Source organism: Homo sapiens, chromosome 5 (genome assembly GCF_000001405.40).
Source record: "Homo sapiens chromosome 5, GRCh38.p14 Primary Assembly".
Classification (NCBI taxonomy): Eukaryota; Metazoa; Chordata; class Mammalia; order Primates; family Hominidae; genus Homo; species Homo sapiens.
Genome location: NC_000005.10, coordinates 56809915 through 56826495, shown reverse-complemented (window position 1 = coordinate 56826495; position 16581 = coordinate 56809915). Strand labels below are relative to the sequence as shown.

Genomic DNA, 16581 nt, shown 5'->3' with positions numbered 1-16581 from the left:
TTCCCTGAGACCACATCTCTGAGCTTTTAACACAAAATAAGAAAATCTGATTCACTTTACAATAATGTGTGCTTTACAAACATCTCTTTGTGAACACTGTCGTTCAGAAAGACCTGACTACATGTACAATGATAGAGAAAAAAACTAAAAAGGCTTAAAAGTAGCAAATCTAACTCAGATATCGAGGAACTTGTTAAACCAGAGCTCGGCAGAATTCACAGTACAGCACTGATTTCTACAAAGCCACATTTATTTTTTAGTGGAATACCAATAATTCTTTATTGCAAAGAGAATAAAAACAAAACAAACAAAACCTCACCACGGAGCTGGAAAGAGTATTCTAGATAGAGGTAAGAGCATTGGGCACGCCGAGAAAGAAGGGTGATCAGCTGCAGGACAGAGCTGGAATTCAGCTGGTCAACAGTCCAACCAGAGAAGCCATTTCAAATGCCTTATCTATGTATTCATGCCAATACTTCTTATAAAATAAATTTTTAAATAAAAATTGTTTTCTTTAAAAAAAAAAAAGAAGAACGGTCAGTTGAGGGACTAAAACTGAGCACGATGCTGAAATGACGGGAGCAGACCATTCTGAGGGGCTGCTGAAAGTGAGCAGAAGCCTGAGTCCTAAGGGTTTCTGAACTGCATTATGGAGTCTGGACTTCATTCTGAGGGTGAAGAAAAGGTTGACAGTGGGTTGACAGTGGCCTGACCCTGGGTTAGCAGTCATGGCAGTGGAGGAAGTTGGATGGATTCTCAGGCTACTAGGAGAGTGGCAATAACAAGAACTGGTGACTGATTGGAAGCTGAAGGTGTGAAAGCCAGAAGAGTAAGAGCACAGCAATTAAAGAGACAATGGCAGTGTTTACCCTGATGGGCACCCTAAACCACATGGAGATCTGAATGCAAGGATGAAGAGGCTGAGCAGGGCAGAGATGCAGCCTGGACATGTGACTGCCACAGTGCCTGGCAGAGGGGTCCCTCCTGGAGGAACTATCCTGGAGAAAGTTGTATGCAGGATTCTGTCACAAAAGCCAAGATGTCTTAGGCACCACAGTATCAATGAGTCAGCAAAGATACGGCTGATAATCTCTTAACAAATCCTTTTCTTCCTGGTTAAAGACTAGCTTTCCTTCAATCTTTGTACAAAACTTGAAATTTGGTTATTTAAGAATCTAGACCTGGCCGGGCATGGTGGCTCACACCTGTAATCTCAGCACTTTGGGAAGCTGAGGCGGGTGGATTACCTGAGGTCAGGAGTTCAAGACCAGCCTGGCCAACATGGTGAAACCCTGTCTCTACTAAAAATACAAAAATTTAAAAAGTTGGAAGTGGTGGCAGGCGCCTGTAATCCCAGCTACTCAAGAGGCTGAGGCAGGAGAATTGCCTGAACCTGGGAGGCGGAGGTTGTGGTGAACCAAGATTGTGCCATTGCACTCCAGCCTGGGCAACAAGAGCGAAACTCCATCTCAACAACAACAAAAAAAGAAGAATCTAGACCCTTGGAGCAAGAAAAATATCTTTAAGACTCCGTCTCAAAAAAAAAAATAAAAATTTTTTTTAAAAAACCGGAAAAGATCAGTATATTAGTGGTAGTGGTGATTATTATGCATTTTAAAGAAACTGCAAGGTATAAAATGACTCAGGTCAACAATAACAAAAAAGATTTCTCCACACAGATAATAGATAAGACATTCGGTAAGCAGCATCCATTTTTATGTAATTCTAAAGTACATATTTATTCAGTATCATCAAGGCTACAGAAATACATCTTACAGAACAGTTAGAGGTTTACCACTTCAAAGATCAAGACACTTTCTATAACTATCTTGGATAGTAATTTTCCTTAATCTATATTACAAGCTTTCCAACTTCACTTCACTGAGTATATTTTTAAATGGCAGAGGCTGCCCTAGATGGAACTAATTGTACCAATGCTAGGTGGCCCCCGACTGCAATGTTTTGAGTCCTATTCTCCCTCTCTCCTCTCACTGTCAGGTGTGCCAACACTGCTGCCTTTGGGGAACCTGCCTCTTGCAGGACTCACACCGCCACCCCTTCTAACTGGCTGCTTCTAATTGCTGCATGTTAGGAACACCACATGAACAACACTGCATGAACAACATCTGAAATAAGTATCAATCCTGAGCAAATGCCCTGGGAACTCTACTAAGTGTAAAATCAAAGTGCTTCAAAGCACATATTTTGTTACAGGTCCTTTGGCTGCTTAGAGTATTTTTTCTTACTTCTTAGTGCTAACCCATGTTCTAGATAAGAGAGGCTGCTGGGTTTACTTACCAACAGTAAACTTTGAAATGTTTTGTTACATGGGTTCTTGGCTTCTGCAATCTCATGGAGTACTTGCCTAACAAATATTTTCTTCAATGGAAATGTGAACTTTTATTTATCCCAAGTTGAATTATGATCAAATTAATGAATTTTGGATGAAGTAGGGTTATCAGATAAGAATTCTAAAAATGATATCTTAAGTTTAGATGACATTCTGAGAACTTTAAAAATAAGAATAATTATATTAATGCATGACACCTTTATGTGTATATTTATTCACAGATGTATGTGTGAATATATAAATGCATATATATACACACACGCACTCTTAACTCCCTATTAAGTACAGAATAATTATATACACATAGCAGACTCTTCTTACCTATAAAGTTGTCATGCAGTATAGCTATTTGCTCTCTACTACATTAAGCTGTCCTATTTCACTCGAGCCACCAGGCACGTCTACAAGTCCAGGTACCTCTGAATGAGTCTATCACAAATCTACAGTGTTGAAACACCATAGTCTAGACTTTTGCCATTTAACACCTTTTCAGCTATGTCCTAAACTACGTCTGACTAAACAGGAAAAACAGTGGATCCACTAATTTGAACATGCCATGCCATTATCCCTCTCATTCATTTATTCAATAAATATTTATGCAGTGTCTACCCTATGCCAGGCATCCTGCTAGGTGCTAGGGGGAAGGCAGTCATTCATCAAATGAGGTAACAAATGTAAAAGCACAACACTGACAGTAGGGACACCCTGCTACAAAGCCAGTCTGGGTGGATGAGGGAAAGCTTCCCTGAGGAAGTGTCAATGAGTTAAGATTTTAACAACGAGGAGCTGACTTTATGGAAAAACAGTGTTCCTGGCAGAGGGAGCATGTGAGGGCCCTATAGAAGAAGGCAGTGAGTGAGTCTGAGGAAATGAAAGCACGCAACCCTGCCACGGAACAAGGGCAAGTGTGAGCTGAGATGGGCCTGGAGAAGCAGACAGGGGCCCAACCGGGCAGGGACTCGGTCAGGCATGTTAAAGATTTCCTGGTCTTTATCCAAATGGAAGCCATCTGAACATCTTAAAATTAAATTACATTTACTTTTCTGGAGGGAGGAAGTTATGATCAGATTTACATTTGGAAATGATCACTCTGGCCACCTAATACAGATTGGAACGGACAGCAAAGGAGAAAGGACACAGGGATCAGGCAAGGAGGCCACTAAGTTAGTGGAAATGAGAGACAATGGGCACCTGGCTAGGGGTGTGATAACAGGTCAAACTGCCAGCACCTAAGGATGGTCTGAATCTGACGAGGTGAGAGGAGGAGGTGTCAAGGGTGACTCCTGGGTTCTGGTTCTGCCATTTAATGAGCAGGGAACATGTTAGGAGAAGGTTTAGGGAAGATCTTTAATTTGGTTTTAGACATCTGACTGCGCAGAAGTCATGTAGCCAGGTGTAGGTCTGGACTTTAGGAGAGATCATGGTTAGGACAATAAACTCTGCAATCATTTGTAAATGGTCCATAACTGATCTAAGGGCATTAATAAGACTGGGGTGGGGATCGACAAGACAGAATGAGAGAAGGCCTAGGACCACCCTGGGAATCTTCCAGTATCAATGTTCAAGAGAATGAAGATGGGCGCCACGGAAGAAGTGTCATGGTTAAGTAGAAAATCAGGAGGGGCTTACCAATTAACGCAAATAATTAGACACTTTCAAATACCAGGAATTCAGTTTTCTCAATATTTGACAGTTTGAGCATGGCTCCAATTATTTTGTAACTACACTAATTATTAGAAGGCTCACATTACATAAAATTGGTCAATATTATCAATGACTGCTTGCTAAATGCCAACTACTGCTATTAAACATCAAGCAATGGTCTGGCCGCAGTGGCTCATTTCTGTAATCCCAGCACTTTGGGAGGCCAAGGTGGGTGGATCACTTGAGGTCAGGAGTTCAAGACCAGCCTGGCCAACATGGTGAAACCCTGTCTCTACAAAAAAATACAAAAATTAACTGGGCATAGTGGGGCATGCCTGTAATCCCAGCAAGCTACTCGGGAGGCTAGGCAGGAGAATTGCTTGAACCTAGGAGGCAGAGGCTGCAGTGAGCAAAGATTGCGCCACTGCACTCCAGCCTGGGCAACAGAGCAAGACTCCGTCTCAAAAATAAATAAATAAATACCAAACGATATACAAAAACTCCTAAAAAAAGACAGTTCTTGCCTTCAAAACTCGTCTTAAGCTAGATCATGATTAAAATCTCACTACAGTAAGTTAATCTTCAGATATACTAATTTAACCACTTTTGGAAAATTAATTCATGTTAACATTTCTGGGTACCTAATATTCATGGGTGCCAGACACTAGTCTAGATGCTGGGAGATGGTGCAAAGAATCAGATAAAGTTCCTGGTCTGTTAACAACTGATGTTTAGTATTCAGAATACCATAAGACCAGTTTGAAGATTATGTGTTAACATATAACTTAAATTATTGTTTAGGCAATGAAGAAAAGTAAAGCCAGACACAGTGGCTTGCACCCATAGTTCCAGCTATGTGGAAAGATCACCTGAGCCCAGGAGTTCGATTCCAGCCTGGGCAACATAGTGAGAACCCATTTCTAATTTAAAAATAAAAAAAGAAAAGTAATGATAACATCTGTCAAGAGCAAAGCTTCCACCTACACCCCAGTACTGACCCTGTTCTCACTCCATGTCTATCCATCATTATGCTTACAAGTGATGAACTTAGTTAACGTACTAACTACAGTACTGTGTAGGCTGTCCCATGTGGCTCCAAGCACTTTCTCCAGGCTTCAAGAGGTCTGGTGGCTTAGTAATTCCCAGGTGACAGATGTGTACTTGCAGAATTATACACTTGGTGAGTTTTAACAATTCCCCTTAGTATGCTACAACATCTCCACATCTCGATCAAATTAACATCTGCATCAAACCAGCCTGGTATTCCAAAGGACTCAATCACTAACAATACAGAACTCCCTTCCATACCAAACATAACTCAATCACCAATGACATGCCATAGAGTAAATAAAGACAAGGCTATCTTCTTGATCATCTTATGCCCTAAAGAATATTTTATATTTCTCCATGTTGTTTTCGTAACTAGTAGAGTTGCTGTTACTAATAATAAAGACAGAATTTCAGAACTAGCAGTAGCAGATGTTGAATTTCTTGCTCCCCGTATCTCCTTTTTAATTTTCCCTTGGAAGAAAAAAAAACATGCCTGAACATGCAGTGTTGTATATATTCTTATCAGAAAATAGGCAGAAATAGTTTGAAACTAATATGTTGTATCCCCTCTGTATCCCCATCTCTCTTATAGCACTTAACACGGTATTGTGAAACATGTTCATACTACAACCTACCGACAGAAACAGCTTGTGCACTCATGATCTTTTTCTCCACCACTCAAGACCACCACCTTGCAGAAGTTCATAAATGTTGAATGGATGAAATCTAAAACAATAACAAAGGGGTAGGGTCTAGCAATAGTAAAAGTTTCTCTTCCTGTGTGATTACCATGAATGAACCATATTAATTTCAGCTTATCTCCTTTCACTTATGATTTAATACAGCACAAATCAATAAATCTAAGAAACATTCAACACTAATGACTAACCCTCTTTGGCTGACATGATAGGGTGATCCAAATACAGTTTACTTGTATTACATATACAAGGCCAGGTTACAGAAACATACCTATTATATACATTAACAGGCAAACTTAGCACAGGGTAGAGACCTAGCTCATGGTCTATTAGAATGCCTGCAAAACAAATTTCTCCTTAAAAATAATCAATTAATTTGATTATTAATTTGAAAAAAGAAAATGGAAGAAGCAGAGTAGTGGAAAGAAATGGACTGTGGAGTCAGTCTGACTTGGGATTGAATCCTAGCTGTCTTCTAGTTGTGTAATCATGAGGTTTTACCATCTCAGATGAGTTTGCACCTACAGAAAACAGAAATTACACTATCTTAGGGGGCTGCAGTGATGATCAAATGAGATTATATATAAACATATATATAATACATATAATAGATATCATACACACACACAGAAGGCAAAAGAGTTGATTATGTAAAAGGTATCTAGGCATATCTATATGCTCAATGAGTATGTTTTAAGCCACAGATAAAATCCTAATATATTTTTGCAAACTGAAAAGAGTATCTGACTAATCTCATGCTTTGCAATGAACCATTTACTAATTCCGGCCCTGATTATTTCTTTCATGATTAAACATGTTCTTAAATAATTTCTTAAAGACAACTTTGGGTTACTCCTAATCTTACACATTTCCTCACATTAATAGTCTACCATTTACATGTTTAAGTTGCTTTAGCTTTTAACTTAGGATATAGAAAGAGGCAAGGACTAAGGAAAACAACCAAGTCTATACTTGATATATTTGATAGAAGCAAAGAATTCCAAGATTAGAGGTGTAATATACACGCAGTTCCTAAGCAGCCTCTAGAGACTACTACTTTTCCATGACACATTTTCCCATCGCCTTCTGTGTAACAGACAGCCCTCAACCCAAGAAGATGACTGGAGTACAAAATGCAAAAGAGGTGCTTTCTACCTGAGAGCATTTCTGAATGCCCCATATTTTTCCTCATGGTAATCCATTCCCCATTAACTACCTTGCCACCCCCTCATTTCTTCCTTTGGGATGCACACAGCCAGTGTCAAGGACTGATTAGCCGACTCAGCCTAGGCAAGCTGTAGCTGGTTTTTTTTTTGCTCTTGTTGAAAGCAAAAAAACACTCCTTTCTTCCCACATTTTGAAATCTGCAAGTTGACAAGTCAGTGGCCATTTCTAAAATATGCAACATATTATGCTCGAGGTGCTATGGAAGTTGTAAATGAATATCAATGAACAGGGCTACTTCCTGTTTTTCGTATCTAACAAAATGGAGTTTTAGTGCATTGGAAATCGTATATTAAGGAATGTTGGTTAACCAGTCACTCTTGCCAAAATCAGATATGAAAAGAAAATAAAAGTTGGCAACAATTCTAGCTCTTATATTTCTCTTCCAGAATTATATTAAGGTTCATCTTTGAAGAATGCATTAATTTTCTTATCTGATTTAAAATGAAACTGACACCATTCTTAACTAAAAACTTACAAATTCACGGAAGACTAACTTATGTGACTACCTTTATTTTTATAAAGTCACCCACTTAATATTTTAAGAGTAATTTTTAGGTAATAATGCTCTTATACCTCCTCTTTAGTAAAAGGTCACTAAATCATATTTTTAGCCTAATAGCTTTAAAAAGGAAGTGAAATCTGAGGGCTATATGAGGATATAAAAGCAGCCTGTGAAATACCTTTAGTTTTAAACAAAAACTAACATTAACAAGTACAGCATATCTTGTTCTTTCACGGGGCCAGCAAATTGATAGTTTGGTTTTTTAAGTTACAAAAATAGGATGGGGTAATTATATCTACCAAACTCACAATAGGCTGTTCAATGGAGAGTAACACTGTAATTTTTCTTCAAAGACAGTAAATAGGAAGAAAAAGCCCCTAAATTCTGTAATATAAGGAAAAATTCCAAACCCTTGGGCGCCACTTACAGGCACTTTCACTGATTTCAGCTATCACCCTGAAAAAGAGGGACAAACTTAAAATCTTCTATTTAAATACGAGTATTATTTATTTATATAAATTCTAATTCAAAGTATATTTTCTACATTCAAAGATCAGAAGGAAATTCTAAAATTAAAAAAAAGATCACAGAACTCTCAAATATTTCAAAATCTTAGATTTTCCTCTTGGAAGTATGAATGTAACTTAACTGTCAAAAAAAAGTAAAACATAAAGTTCAATTGATATTTTATTGAGTTGGCTATAATTAAGGGTTTTTTTTCCTAAAACTTTAAATGGTAAGTAATAGTGTAGCATAACCAACATGCAATACAAAATATACACACTCAAATAAGATACAAGCCCTTTCCCCACAAAGTTTTATACGAACAGATTCAAATGAATTTCAACCCAATTGTTAAGAAAAAAAAATTCACTATATTTCATAAGGTTAGGGAATCAACATTTTACTATAAATGAAATCTTTACGTATGACATTTGGGATAAACCAACAGCATTCTGACTCGTAAAAATAATTTCTTTAAAAAAGATTATCCTTACAAGCCCATTATTTTCTTATACTGTGCAATTATAATCTACACCTTAAGCAAAGGGGAAAAAACCTCGGTTACAAAACGCAAATACTAAGCATGGATTACTTAGTCCCTAAATTCTATCTGCCTCCACCTTAGTCCTCTTATTTTGTGTCAAGAGACAACATTAAACAATTTCAGTACATTATTTTTACAGTGGATGCTCTTCTACTATATTCACAGCTCATTAAGAGTACTAGAATGCTGACGTTTGCTAAATTATTTATTGTATCCAAAAAGTTAGGTCTCAATAGATACAATTTCTTAAATTTGGGGTTAAAAATTTTTATCTGGAATTCATTTAAAGTAGAAGTTGCCTTCAAAGAATTATTCCAGTTAAGTTTTAATACAATCTGCACAGAAATGGGAAAACTATAGAGGTACATAACTCTTGTAAGAATAAATTACATGTACAAGTGCACACAAAACTGTATCAGTCACAAATCTCCTTTGGTCTCAGTAGTGCCATGGTACAGTGCGAAGCATATTTTTTAGTTCTTGGGGAGAGGAAGGGGACTTCCAAATACTAAATGGATCGTGATTTTAAGCAAATAATCAAATGCACAAAAAATGCCAGATCACTTTAGATAATGAATCCAAACCAAGGACTCCTACTGTCAAATTCGTCTCACAAAATGACACGCTTTCTTCTCATAATAAAGGTCAGGGAATTCTACAGGGCCACGAGGGACTATCACAAAAACATTTCCAGCAACTCAAAATACCCATCAAGACTTTGTACTTTGCATACGTTAATCAGGTTTTTAAAAAACAAACAAACAAGGATGTAGCTGTCACACTTAAAAGAATTTCCTTTAACATAAAAATTTCCAGTAGCCAAAAATGGGCGAGGCCAATAAACCGCTGGTCTAAATTACCTTACACATACTGTACTTCATATGCACCAGAAGACGCATCTGAGCCGAAGCCCACCGCACTGCGGCCCCTGGAATTCAGCGGGCGGCCCGCGCCAGGGCACCGAGCAGGAAGCACTGCACCCGCGCCGCAGTCCCCGGGCCAAGCCGGAGGGGCTGCGGGGAGCAGTCACCACTGCTTTGAAACTGAATGGCTGACACATCCGGTCCTGGCTCTTACACCACTCCGCCAAATGCAAACTTCAAAGGCCAAATTCAAACTCCAAACAGAAGTCACTCAAGTGACTTAGCAGTGCAGTTCGCATTCCCAGGAACACTCAAAGCCCCTTGGGGGCTGCAATTAGACAAACCGCACTTCCTAAAAGACTGCAAGCCTCCGCGAGTGTGCAGCCTCCCGCCGCACGGCTTTGACAGGCGTTACCGAGCCGTCCTCCTGGAGCCCTGCGGCCGGCGCTGGGGGCGCGCCGCCTGCGTCCGGGCCCAGCCCGCGGTATCTGCCTAGGGACTCGAGTCCCGGGCGGGCCGAGGGGCTCTGCCTGTCACGGCCGCTGGGACCTGCTACTTTCTCTTCGGTCCTCTCAGTCTCCCACCCGACCTCGGGCTTCTCACCCACCCCGCCCCTCTTCCGACCACCGCCCGCCTCAGGCTCGGGCCTCGCCCCCCAGTGCCTTTGCCCCGGGGACACCCGTCCGGGGGCGCCGCCGCAGGGCCGTGCCCCGCCCCCGGGCTCCTCGGAGAGCCCCGATTCCAGGAGTCCCACAAAGCCAGCCGTGGCCCCCTACACCTTTTCGCAACGGTTCCCCGCAGAGAGGCTCGCACGCCTGTCACATGTCTGCAAACAATAACAAACTCTTCCGCACGTCCCCGTCCGGTCCCCCAGGCTGGGTCCGGGGCGCCGCCCGACTCCGAAGGGGTCGGGGGGTGCTCAGGGGCGTAGGTCCCGGCGAGCGGCGCGTAGCCTCGCTGCGCTGAACCCCGGGACGCCGTGCATGGTGCCCGGGGTTCATTCATTGCCCTCTGCCCGCTCTCCAAGTCCCCGCCGCGACCCCGGCCGTGCTGCTCACCCGGCGGGGGCCGCTGCAGGAGACGGCTCGGCGGCGGGCGCCCGCTTCTCCCCGGGCTCGGCCGCTGCGGGACTCGAGGCGCCGCTGTCCGGCGCCGCCACCGACTCGGTAAGGTGGGCGCCGCCGCGGCTCGCGGCTCCGTGGGGCGGCGGCACCGCCACAGGCTGGAAGCCGGTCCCACTCCCCGCTGCGTCCGCGGGCTCCGGCGACGGGGAAGTCGAGGAGGCCGGCGGTGAGGCGGCAAGGAAGAGCGGCTGCTCAGGCAGCTGGTCCAGCTCCACACTCCGCACTTTGCGCAGCTGCCGCCGCCGCCAGTCCGCCCGCTCGCGGCCCCCGCTGCCCGCCTCCCGCAGCAGTCCCGCGGCAGCCGCGGGCGCGCTGCTCGCCTTGAGGGCTCCTCCGCCGCCGCCTGCCTCAGGGCTCGTAGCCCTGGCGCCCGGGAATCCCGACGACGAGGCGCGATTCCCCGCCGCCGCCGCCATTTTCTCTCGCGGGCTACATTCGCTCGGCCCCTGCGAGGGAGGGAGGGGGCGGGGAGAGCGCAGGGGGCGGGCACTGCGCCGCCAGCGTAAGGCCTCCTGCGCCAACTGCGTGAGCGCGGCCCGCCGGGCGCCTGGCCTGGACTGACCGACGGGCGGGCGCACTGGGTCCGGCCTGCGGCAGAGGTGTGGGTGGAGGGCGGCCCGGCGGCCGCAGGTGGGAGGGAGTGGGCTGTGCTCTCCGCCGGGCGAGAGGGCGGGCGGGCGAGGTGGACTGGGAGGCGGAGGGGGCGGGGGCGGAGGCGGAGGCGTGGGCTCCCGGGACTCTGCGCGCTGCACGCGCCGCGCCGCCAGGTAGTCCCGGCCGCACCGGCGACAGGAGGAGCCTTGGCGGCAGCGCTGCGCCGCTTCCTCTCGGCAATCTCGGCCCGGCACCGCGGAGCTCGCGGGAGGGGAGTTGCACCTTCCGAAAGAAAGAATTAGTTCCAACTTGGGTTTCTGGTGCTTGAAGGGGACGCAGGCGAGAGGGTTTACAGTCTGTCATTCCCACTGCCCTTTGCAGTGGGCGTCGGGGGACCCGGGCGTGGACCAGCCTCCCACCGACGCGCAGGTGGCGCCCGGGACCGTCGCCTGCTGCAAAGCGAAAGCAAGTCAACGTTCAGCAGACAGGCTGCCGCGGACCAGAAAAATAAAGTTTTGTTTGTGTTTTCTTTTGAAAAGAAAACATTCCTTCTCTATTGTCCCACCCCTGTCCCTGTGCTACAGATAACAAAACTTCAAAGTTTTCTGTAATACCTTACATCCTGAAGCTGCTGATTTGGGACAACTACCCCCTACCCTCACCAAGTCCCCACAGCCTCTGAGAAACCGTTGGGGCGAGGAAGGGAGGCGGGTGTCCCCGTCGATCTTTAGTTTTTCCTTGGCTGTCTTTGGGAAAGGCAGTCCCGTACAGAACCACATATAGCGCGTTTGGGGAGGGGACCAGCGCTGTGCCAGGAAGTGCTCGGTAATGTCACCCTCGGCCAGGTCCCGGCCCTCCCCGAATCCGATGCTTCTCGCCGCACGTCCTTCTTCCCTGCAGGGTCGGGCCACCGGCCGGGTTCCCTCTGTCCCCACTCCTGCAGGGCCTGGCTGCCCATCGCTGCGTTGTGAGTCCTCCTAGTCCCTGGACTCTACGTGAGAAGGTGCTTTGGGATGGAAAAAGCAACATTTACACGTTAATGATTTTTGACCTTTTGTCAACTGAGGAGAACTTCTGTGTTGCGTTTATTTCTTCCTTCCTTTCCTTTCCTCCAGCTGGTTTGTTTAGGATGGGGAATCTCCCAAAACCCAGGAGGAACGTCTATAGATTTACTTTGTGAAACATGATTAAGGAGGGGGGAGGTTGGGGTGGGGGGGTGCGGATTCTCACGGAGATAGTCTTGTCAGTCTTCACATATTTAGACAAAAGCCTGAACTATTTACAGAATAATTCCATTGACTTCTGGAGACTAGGTAAAATGAAAGCCCCTTTCCCAGATACAATGTTAACTGCGTAACCAGGTTAGATCAGAGGGGTTTTAAAAAGTCCAGATTTCATATTAGCTCAATGATTTGAAAACTGCTGTAACATCTCCCATAAGATAGTTTTAGATCGTTACACCCAACGGTACAAATTTTGAAAGTTCAGATAAATCTGTTAAAAATTAAGTCTACATTTAGGCTATAATTATATGCTATTTTAATGGCAGTCAAATGTATCATTCAAACCAAACAGTGGTTATTTCTCAGGTCTTCCTGGGTTGCCACACCCACCAAATCCTAAACTGAAACGGATAAACTTTCCTTGTTCCTATTTTGATCTAAAGACTTTTACATTTGCACGCACATATTCAGGTACCTGTAAGTGAGAAAAGTAAGTGGAAGACTTTAGCCAGAGTAGCAGAGTAAAAAGGAGATTCCAGCAAAACTGATTTTTGACTGTTTGTACAGTGGTTGAAACTGGGGATCAAAGGGAGAGGGCTACCCAGCGCAGCACTATGAACTAGCTACAATTCTCTCACTTCCTCCATCCACCACGTATTACCATGGAGAAACCTAAGTGTTGGTATTTTCCCACAGTTTTTGTTGCTTTGAGTCATTTTTTTCTTTGTTTACGTAAATATTCAGGTTGTCATTATGCATCTGCATATGGACACACTGATTTCTTAAAGAGAGAATCAAAGGACATGCTTAACTGAAAAGGGTGTTCTCCCTCTGCCATATGTTAATAGAAGTTTCTGAGTCTAATGCGTGATTAAGACTCTAGCTGGTTTTGGTGCTCTTCAGTCCTGCTATGTTACTGCAGAGAGGTGGATGTCAAATATCAAGTACTGTAGGCTCTGAATTCTCTTAATATGATTTATTTAATAACATTCAGGAGACTTGTATTTCTTCCAAGGTTGTTTCTAGACTGAAAGCTCCAATTCCTGTTTCCAAGCTCTTCATTTCCATCCTCACTGGGACGTAAACCTTGCAATGATTTCACGCATGCAATTTCATGGCAATTTCATGACCATTTCAATAACCTTAATACCAGTGCATTACAGATCACTGCCTCCACATAGTGCTTCTGGAAACTGCCTACATCACACTTCAGTTCCTGCAGCATATTCACGTTGAGGATCCACTTTGACACTGGGCATTTCCTCACTGTACATAAATATCACAAATATTAGAATGAGCAGACATAATATACATTGGGAGAAATATTTCAGCCTGTACATCATTCATCATATATTTAGTAAGCACCTACTGTGCATATGCAGGAATTTTTCTTCTCTGAGGATATTGTTTGTTGTTTTTCATTTCTACAAAAATGAATAAACAAAATATTCCAATCTACAGATATTTTTATTAGTGGGTATTTATCAGGCTGACTGGTAGAATTCCAGATCCATCAGTATGTGAATGTATTCACATATTCATGGCTGTTTGTGAGATCTATACCTCAGATAAACATAAAAGAATAATATAACCTTGAGAATAGGGTAAAAGCTGGTGTTCTTTCAAGCTTACAAATATTTATTATGGAATACTTGCAGGAGTGCTGGGGCTAGAATTTGGTTTCTGCATGTTCTTTCCAGACAACATACTTCCCAGGTGTTTTCAGATGTTCTAAGTCAGAAAATCCTGTCATCAGTGGGATAATTGGTTCCCTACAAGGGCACTGTAAATGACATTATAGTAGAAGGTCTCTTAACCAGCCTCCATTTAGCTGACTCATCCAGTAACAGATACCAGCCATTACTGTGTGGTGTACAACATGCAGAGGGATGATACAGCACAATAAATGCTCAGGCCAGCGGCTGGTGTGCACCTGCATACTTCTGTTCCCACTAGGTGAGTTATGGGTCCCATGAGAATCCATTGTGCTTGTTCCCAAACTTGATTCCACCTATTACAATGTTCCTTGTGAAATTTAATTAAATATTACACAATTGATTATTAAATTTAAAAACATGAGTATGTGTGTGCGAAAAGAAAGTTGTTCCAGTGAAAATGAAGTGAAATGCTTTGAGAGAAAAGTGATTGAAACTGGGGATCAAAGTGAGGCAGTACCCAGTGCAACACTTATCAACTAGTTAACAATTCTCTAACTTCTTCCCAGCCACCGCATACCACCACGGGGAAACCTAAGTGCCAGTCTTTCCAATAGTTTTTGATGCTTCTAGTCATTTTTATTTTAATCACTTATGTGAATATTCAGGTTGTCATTATGCATTTGCATATGGACACACTGATTTTTTAAGAGAAAAATGATCAGAGGACATGCTTAATTGAAAGGGTGTTCTTCCTTTACCATATGTTAATAGGAAGTATTTGAGGCGAGGCACTGAAAAAATCTGTCAAATTAGTTGTGGGTATGACCATTATGAAAGATTGGGAAGAATTTACTTTGCAGGTATCTATCAGTAGTCACTTTAAAAAAACTAAAACTGAAAATTGTAGATGATGTGAAAGATACATGGAACTCTAAACGGTGAACCCACATTTTAAAGACTAAAGACTTACAGCCAAATATTGACCAAAAAAACCCCAAACCAACCAAAACAAAACACTGTTGTTTATATGTTTTAAGCTAAAGTAAAATACTTAAGAGATACGTATGATTCCCTCTTATTAATAAACCTTCTAAACATTTTGCATGTATTTGCATGTTCTTAAAATCAGAAATTAATTTTTGTAATAAATAATGAAAAGTACTTGGGATTTTATATTTAAGAACACAACTACAACTTATTAAATTTAATTTGCCTCAGAGTAAGCAAAATTCTTCTCACTTTACAATCTTGCACTGATTCTCTGAATTCTTTGAATGGCCATCGTAGTTGCTGTTTTTTGATGCATGCTGAGATACTCTTTTTCCATTTGACCTTTGTGGCTTAGTGAGGGCTATCATTTTTGCAAACAATATTTGAAGGGTTCATACATTTTCCCAAGATCCTCCTGTAATACTCAATTGCTTTTTTTAGACTAGTGTCCTTGTCAGTTTTTTCTTCCTTTTACCAACTTCCTGGTCCAACTCTGCTGAATCCTGCATTCACAAGGCTTTGCATGTGACCTGAGCAGTTCAGGACCACTTTCATTGGCTCTGTTCACTTCTGCATCTTTTGCAACATTTGCACCTTCACTTTGCAATTGATTTCCATTGTTTTATGGCCAAAGCTGCTATAAAGAGGTATACAAAGTTGGCATGGGGTTGGGCACAGTGGCTCACGCCTGTAATCCCAGCACTTTGGAAAGCCGAGACAGTAGGGTTACTTGAGGCCTGGAGTTTGAGGCCAGCCTGGGTGACATAGTGAGACCCTCATCTCTACAAAAATTAAAAAAAAAATTAGCTGGGCATGGTGGCACACACCTGTAGTCTCAGGTACTCAGGAAGCTGAGATGGGACGGTGGATTATGCCCCGGAGTTCCAGACTGCAAGGTGCATAATCACACCACTGCACTCCAGCCTGGGCCACAGAGCAACACCCTGTCTCTAAAAATAAATAAATAAATAAAAATTTTCAAAAATTATCATGCACTAGAAGAGTGCTGTCTAACAAAATATAGTGCAAGCCACATATATAATATTAAATTTTCTAGTAGATACATTTAAAACCAGGTGAAATTAATTTCAATAATGCATTTTATTTTACATAACGTATCCAAAAAATTATTTCCACGAGTAATCAATCAATGTATAACGTATTACGAATGAGATAGTTTCTCTTTTCTGGCGCTTTGAAATCTGGTGTGTGTTTTACACTGACCATTTCTAATATCTTAATTCAGACTAGCCACATTTTGAGTGCTCAAAGGTCACAGGTAGCTGACGTATTGGACAGTGCAGACCTAGAACTATAGTACCTAACACCAATGAGTTTTATGGATTGTTAAATGCTTGATTAGGTCAGGATTAATATATAAGAAAAATAATCCACATGTGTATGTTCAGGAAATAAGAAATGCAATGGATATAAATTATAGTCATGTGCTGCATAATGAGGGACCACATATATGATGGTGGTCCCAGAAGATTATAATGCCATGTTTTTACTGTACATTTTCTATGTTTAGATATATTTGGATACCCAAATACTTACCATTGTGTTACACTGCCTACAGTATTCAGCACAGTCACATGCTATATAGGTTT

The 16581-nt window shown here is 42.7% G+C and overlaps 1 protein-coding gene across 4 annotated transcripts in view, besides 7 other annotated features; it reads right to left on the bottom strand.

The window, feature by feature from the left end:
- MAP3K1 (mitogen-activated protein kinase kinase kinase 1) overlaps nt 1–10947 on the bottom strand; it is an 80604-nt gene extending 69657 nt beyond the window's left edge. For 2 of the 4 annotated variants that reach the window (NM_005921.2, XM_047417218.1), the window contains exon 1: nt 10441–10947. In NM_005921.2, the coding sequence (NP_005912.1) occupies nt 10441–10922 (482 nt within the window). In that variant the 5' untranslated portion in view covers nt 10923–10947. Of the gene's footprint in view, nt 1–5679; nt 6264–9379; nt 9569–10440 lie in introns of those variants that run through there. The other 2 variants (XM_047417219.1, XM_047417220.1) reach the window with 2 other exon arrangements.
- Nucleotides 622–1132: an enhancer, noted in NCBI's record as "NANOG hESC enhancer chr5:56121191-56121701 (GRCh37/hg19 assembly coordinates)". NCBI's record gives its function as "activates a minimal SCP1, AML or CMV promoter by ChIP-STARR-seq in naive H9 embryonic stem cells {active_cell/tissue: H9 hESC(naive)}" and the evidence as "EXISTENCE:reporter gene assay evidence [ECO:0000049][PMID:30033119]".
- Nucleotides 5760–6054: a silencer, noted in NCBI's record as "tiled region #15646; HepG2 Repressive non-DNase unmatched - State 19:H4K20". NCBI's record gives its function as "represses a minimal TATA promoter and a strong SV40 promoter by Sharpr-MPRA in HepG2 cells {active_cell/tissue: HepG2}" and the evidence as "EXISTENCE:reporter gene assay evidence [ECO:0000049][PMID:27701403]".
- Nucleotides 9315–10138: an enhancer, noted in NCBI's record as "OCT4-NANOG-H3K27ac hESC enhancer chr5:56112185-56113008 (GRCh37/hg19 assembly coordinates)". NCBI's record gives its function as "activates a minimal SCP1, AML or CMV promoter by ChIP-STARR-seq in naive and primed H9 embryonic stem cells {active_cell/tissue: H9 hESC(naive and primed)}" and the evidence as "EXISTENCE:reporter gene assay evidence [ECO:0000049][PMID:30033119]".
- Nucleotides 9850–10089: a silencer, noted in NCBI's record as "silent region_16023". NCBI's record gives its function as "represses an Ori minimal core promoter by ATAC-STARR-seq in GM12878 lymphoblastoid cells {active_cell/tissue: GM12878}" and the evidence as "EXISTENCE:reporter gene assay evidence [ECO:0000049][PMID:35858748]".
- Nucleotides 10270–10389: a silencer, noted in NCBI's record as "silent region_16022". NCBI's record gives its function as "represses an Ori minimal core promoter by ATAC-STARR-seq in GM12878 lymphoblastoid cells {active_cell/tissue: GM12878}" and the evidence as "EXISTENCE:reporter gene assay evidence [ECO:0000049][PMID:35858748]".
- Nucleotides 10460–11229: a silencer, noted in NCBI's record as "silent region_16021". NCBI's record gives its function as "represses an Ori minimal core promoter by ATAC-STARR-seq in GM12878 lymphoblastoid cells {active_cell/tissue: GM12878}" and the evidence as "EXISTENCE:reporter gene assay evidence [ECO:0000049][PMID:35858748]".
- Nucleotides 11590–11719: an enhancer, noted in NCBI's record as "active region_22572". NCBI's record gives its function as "activates an Ori minimal core promoter by ATAC-STARR-seq in GM12878 lymphoblastoid cells {active_cell/tissue: GM12878}" and the evidence as "EXISTENCE:reporter gene assay evidence [ECO:0000049][PMID:35858748]".